A 6,605-nucleotide genomic window follows, 5' to 3' on the forward strand; every position below is an offset into this window, starting at 1 on the left:
TTTCTTCTTGAGTTGCTAACAACAACCATAAAAATGAATGTTCATTGGATATTTAATAAAAGCTAGATGCATATATTTCCAGATTTAAGCTCTGTATTTGCTACATACTTCCCAGTAAGTTGTATACCTGTGGAGCAATTATTGCACCTTACTCACCCTCATTTTCCTAATACGTAAACTGAAGATGATAATAGTCCTTATGAGGATTAAATTAATATGGCACACAAAGTTCTAGGATAGTAGCAAAACACATCAGGACTCATTAAAAGGTAGCCATTTCTACTTACCATTTTCCAGGCACTTTGATGAATACTTTACATCTATTTTCTTATGTTAACTCCTAATACAACCCAAAAGATCAATTTTACAACTAGCTTCATAAATAGAGAGAAAGCCAAGACTTGAAGAAGTTAAGAAATTTCACCAATTTCACGCAGGAGAAAAGAGTGGAGCCAGGATTTGACCCACGCATTCTACTCTGAAAACCTGAGCAAATAACCTTAGACCATGGCACCGGCCTTGTGGGCTTATTACAGGGATTTTATGGGATAATGCAGGTAAAGTATGTAATGCACATATTTGTAGGGATTATGTTATTGTTATGCTTAGGCTCATTAAGTAATACTTTTCAGTTTGGTGGTAATTTTAATGTTTTGAGGTGAGGGGATGGTTATAGAGTTATTAAAGTGGAGGTTGTAGCTAACGCTTTTACAGAGCATTTTAGAGCTGTCTAATAATGTATCTTTTATGGTCAATGTGCCATTCCTCCTCTCAAGTTTCTTTGTGCTTAAAAATAATAATAGCAATAAGCAACTCTATGCAAAGAAACCAGAAAGCAAGTGCTAGATAAAAGAGAAGCAATGACAATATAGTTCTTTTGAAAACACGAGCAGTCCTTTACAAGTCTAAAATGAAATGGAAGATGATATAGGTGTATTGGGAGCTGTCCTGAGAAATGGTACTGAAGTAACAGTTTTGAACTTCGAAAACTACACCCAGCCACGGTTGGGCAAACTCCCTGCTGATCTGGCATGGAATAACATCAAAGGAAATGCATGGCAGACCACAATTTTCCAGCATGTTGTTCCAGCCTGAAGCAGCCTGTTAATATTAGCATAAAGCAACATAAGTCATTTTTGAAGGCACAGTGGGGGAGATAGTGTTTTTTATTGCTCCTTTTCAGAAATGTGTTAAACTACAACTCCCGATACGTAAGCTGACTATTTCTATACCAAATAACACCTGACCTATGAAAAGGCAAACTCTTTAGGAACCAAATTCAAATCAAAGAAGCCTTCATTTTAGCTACAGAAGAAAAATAAAAGGCGGCGATAAAAGATCATTTGGAAATTTGGGTTGAGGCCAACAGATTGTTATGGTGACAGAGGATAAATGGCCTTTTTGCAATATGTGCCATTTTTCCTACAGCAAGAAGAGTGAATGAATCTAATTTCAGAATCTTTCCAAGCAGTATACAATGAGATTTAAGAAAAAAAAAAAAGCATGGATTTCTAAATAATTTTGATAGTGCTTACCTAAAGGCAGAAAAGAGCCATTAGTATATATAATGATGTTACCAGGATTTTAAAAAACAAATGTGATTGGTTAGAACAATAGGTCAAAACAAACTAGCTGGATTTTAACAAAAATCTAAGTTAATTCTGTACAAAATTTTAATTTTTCAAATTCTCTTGGGAGATATGTTTCAGCAAAAACTCATGTGGAAAATGAAACAAAAGGCTTATCAGCCCATAAACTAAATATAGGTCTACATTGTGATGCTGCATGACAAAATTTGATGCAATCTTAACCTGTGTTAACAGAGGTAGACTATCCAAGTCATGGGAGGTGATGGTTAGTATATATTCTGTGCTGTAGAGATATAATCGAGAGTTCAGGCAGTTTTTGCACGGGTAGGAGAGAATATTAGGATGATGAGAGGATGCTTGCCTCCAAAAGAAGTTATGTGAGCAAGGTCAGGGAACCTGGGGAATTTGAGCTCAGCAAGAAATGCCCAAGAGTAGAAGCAATTATATCAATTTCATAATAATAATTCTATTTAAAGGCACTTTTTGTTTTGTTGCAATCTCAAGCTGAGTACAGCATGCCCTGGATCACTGTCTGACATGTCTACCTTCTGAAATTGTACAATCCAGCTAAGTCTGACCTATATTTGAGCCAATTTTTTTCCTCCTTGTATTGTTACAATTAGCCTACTGAAATCTCTTGTGAGCTTCCCAAGACCAGGGATCCTGTCTTGTTTGGCTCTATATTTCCCACAGCAAATGAGACTAACTCCAGGAAACACTCAGTGACTATTTGTTGATTTCCCCCTAACATGTCACTTTTTCGCTCTTAGGTTAAACACTGTTCACAATCTGGAGGAGATCTCTCTCTCTAACTTAGCTCTTACTCCTGATCTTCCATATGGGCCATCAAGACTCTGTATCATTAGCAACCTCTAAAATGTCTTAATTGGAGAAGTTAGGCATTTTTTATGAGGGTGCATAGAGTTCAACTGAGTTTCCATACTCCAGTATCTACATTTCAAAATCCAAAAGAGGACATAAAAAGGCTTTGGGTTACAAAAAGCTATAACTTAATTGGCAACACCTGCAGAGAGCAGGTGATAAATGTATGAAGAGGCTGAGGGGTATCTCCAGTCTTTTGCTGTTGTCATTTCATATGCACACATTCCTATAGAGCAGTACATCACTAACTGTTCAAGTAAAACCTGTTCGGGAGAAGGGAAAATATCAAATAGAAAAAGATATTCTAATATCAACAGCACTTTCAGAAATGCAGTTGAAGTTCTTAATAAAAACTATTTCATCTCTTTCCTTTTTTCCCATCACAATCTAAGTTATTGAGGGTAGAAATTCAAATGAACATATCTTACCAAAATATTTATTCAAATAGGAATGTTAGTGATTTTCAGATGCTTGCTGGCAGAGCGGAAACAGAAAGATAAACGGCTTTTTTACCCTATTCAAGAGTTATTGTTATCTTCTAGGCTGTGATGTTCCCTCATTATCCAGGGGTACACAAATCCAGGCAGTGCATAATTTGGGAACCAAAAGTAAAATAGTAAAACATTTTTCAAGATGCTTTCACCATTTCACCACTTTTAAAAAAGGAATTTCAATGCAGGAAAAAAGTATACCTCATATTGGCTCTTCCCAGGCATTAAAATTCCACGCACAAAACTATGTGCACTGCTTCTCCACAGGATGCTACCAACACTTTGCAAAGAGCAGGCTGGAGTCCCACCCAGTCCATTTAACTCCTACTTTCTGGGGCAATGCTAGTGTTGCCAAAGTTCATCACCAAATTTTACATATTGTCAAACTGAGGCCCAAGGATTCAAGGCAACCATACTGTTTCTCAGACTCATCTGGCAAGAGTTATGAAATAAATGTCTTCCAGTCTTCTTAGCAATGGAAAAAATAATTACCTAAGCTGTTTACTTCCATTTTAATCAGTCAGCCAATCAAGTCTGAAATGAGAGCTTGCTCAATTATGCTATCAGCCTTGTGCTTAGCTCTGCCATGAAGAACCAAGAGAGTAGAGTGCAGTTTTGCCCTCTAGGAAGCCTGACTTAGACACACCTGAGACAATTAGAGAACAATACAGGATAAGATGCAATTAAGTGAGAAAACGTTAAGTAGAATGATTGTAAGTGCTTTAAAGGGCTCAAAGGTGTAGCTCCAGCAGGGGGGAAATGTTGTAAAGAAAGGGTCCTTTATCTCTCTGTCTTGTTTTCGCCCTTTCTACCTCTTCCTCACTGCATTTTTCAGGATTGACAGAAAGAAGCTGCTTCAGGCACCGCCCCTGAGGTAGAGCTGCCACTTTCATCTCCTGTTCTTTTCCTATTGACCATGTGGCTCTGTCAGCTGATATTCTTGTTACAACCTGAAATCCCCTTCCACTGGCCCATTTCAAACACCCCTCATGACTGTTTTAATACCTCCCTGGGCTGATTCCCTCTTCACCCCTTCCACATTTCCTTCCTATGCATTTCCAGAGTCCGCTTCTTCTTGAATGTGACGGGCGTGCATCTACTCTCTTCTTAACAAAACTGTGGGGTCTTTAGACATCTATAATTGCTAAACACCCACATGGGTGTTTAGCAATTATAGATGTCTAAAAATGAAAGGATATTTTAGTAGTCCTCAGGATGGTCTCAGGGTTATGATATGACAGATTTCTCCAATAATACAAAATCAGACACTATGAGATGAGGCTGACCACAAGCTGCAATAGACAGAAGGTTGGTCTCCAATGAAGCTGTCTGTTTAGACTTGTTGGCTTATTCAATAAAACATCTTCAGTCACCCATGTTTCTGTCCCCCTCTTTCAATGGCTACTAGTAGCTAAGCTTCAAGAAGAACCTTACAACATAATGTGCTTATCTTAGTACATATAGAAAACCTGAATGCTTCATACTAGACTGACACTTGCAGAATAAAAATAAATTTTTTTTAATCTTTGAAGAACCATTTTTCTCACTCTCAAATTATTTCTTCCTGTTCACACTCTTCATTGGGCCACACACCAGTCAATGACCCTCATACCATCCTCATTATTACAGAGCCCTTGAATACAAGATTCTTGCAAGGGAGAAGTTTTACAAAAGGGAAATAAAAAGAATTATTATTTCAACCTGACACTTTTTTCTGCCTTTATTTCTTCCAAACTAATATGTCAAACTAATTCAATTTATTGTGTCCATTTTTCTCCAGCAGACCTGAAGTAAATGAATGTGCTCTATATAATCTGGAAGGCAATGCAAATACACAGTCAAACTATTTCAGGGCTATAATATAGCCAGGGACAGAAAATTTTAATTCAAAAGTTAACGATTCATATATCACTTGTTATCTTCACATGTCAACACTTCAGACAGCCTATTTTAATATTTGGTATTTTTTCATACTTTATCTTGTAAAAAGAATTTTATCCCTTTCTCACTGTATTCCTCAATGTGGAAAAAAAGGTCAGACAAGAGTTTTAAATTTTCGACATGGAGGATGATAACAACGGTTTCTAGTGACAACAAAAGTTCCTACCCTTATAGGAAAGCAGTGATTTTTTCTTGGGCCACAGCAGCAAGGAATCACCAGAACCAACTTTAAATCCACCCTAATTGATTAGTAACAACTTTGCATGGTTCACCATGTTCCCAAAAGCCAACCAATCAGTTACAGCCCAATATTTCTGAAAATCAGCGAGTGAGTAACAATGATTTTTAAGTAACCACACTTTCACAGCTAAAGGTCAACCAATATCTAAACACCCTCGCTTTTGAAATTCTGTCAATCCCTCAACTCCAGGATCCTTGAACCCCTACACATTAGGCCTCTGCTTTGCTCAGAGTGAGCGGGCTTACAAGCCAAGTTCTCCTTCACTTAGCAAGCAATAAATTGCTGTCTTTGTTTGAGATAAGAAGTGATGGCCTCTTTCACTTAAACTAGTTTGATATCTCACTGATACATCACTGACACACTGTATTTAGAGATTCATTTACCTATTTATTTCAAATAGAATATAAAGTAGTTAAATATTATTAAGCCAACTGATGGCCCAAGCTGCAATATGAACAGTGGTGGTCTACAGTTCAGTAAGCCAATAAAGTTGTCTGTTTAGACTTGTTGGTCTATTCAAATGAAACATCTCCGTCAGTCATCTATGCTTCTGTTCCCCTCTTCCAACAGCTGATAATATGTAGGCTTTGAGCAAATTATCACACACTAAGGAGGAAGGTTACAGAAAATCACAATGTAGACACATGGTGTGCAAAATCCCTGAAGCTCTCCAATGGTGACATCCATCTCAGAATGTTCAGACTGCCTATGCTTGAAAGAGGTGGCCTATTTTATCCAATGAGTTCAAAACAAAAGATAAGAGAACAAATGTGGAATATTTTCCTTTCATATAGTTGATGAATTTGAAATCATGGAATCTTTTTGAATATAAATTATGTCTTCACACCAAAAGGCTTCCATGATAATGTGCAAAAGACACCATACACCACTTTGTTTAAAGTATGTAATTTATATTTTTTACAGGATTTCCAATAAGAATGCTATACACATAGTTGTAGATACTGTTGTCTTCTTTATTCAAGTTATTTTAAATGTTGTAGATTGTCTCTACTTTGCTTGAGCTTATGGTTGTAAAAGAAACAAAAAGTTATTGGAGACCCCATACAATACCGTAATTTATGTACAGAGATAGTCTGAATGCTGTTAAGACTTATTAAGTCCAGAGAGAAAGCTCATTATCTATTGTATAAATGAGAATCAAGTCTCCTAGTACACTATGTTTAGCTATGATAAATATCGTGACTTCCTAAGATCCTTTATTTCCTCTGGGCAATTCTGCCTGCCTTTGGCTGAAAACTACCCGCATGGCCTCCCCAGTCTCTCCAGTTCCCAACTTAATGCTTCTGCCTACATTCTCCCTTGTGCTATTCTTTCCTCCCTTCATCTCTATACCCCCAAACCCTCTCCTTCCTCTCCAATTCCATACTCAATAGGAAGGTACACGCCATCATTTCATGAGGTTCCCTCTCTTTCCTCTGAAATCACATACACTTTTCTAGT

At 37.2% G+C, this 6,605-nt stretch overlaps 1 annotated feature.

Annotated features, from left to right (window-relative positions):
- Positions 3,393-3,936: an enhancer, noted in NCBI's record as "NANOG hESC enhancer chr2:23014247-23014790 (GRCh37/hg19 assembly coordinates)". NCBI's record gives its function as "activates a minimal SCP1, AML or CMV promoter by ChIP-STARR-seq in naive H9 embryonic stem cells {active_cell/tissue: H9 hESC(naive)}" and the evidence as "EXISTENCE:reporter gene assay evidence [ECO:0000049][PMID:30033119]".

Source organism: Homo sapiens, chromosome 2 (assembly GCF_000001405.40).
Source record: "Homo sapiens chromosome 2, GRCh38.p14 Primary Assembly".
Classification (NCBI taxonomy): domain Eukaryota; kingdom Metazoa; phylum Chordata; class Mammalia; order Primates; family Hominidae; genus Homo; species Homo sapiens.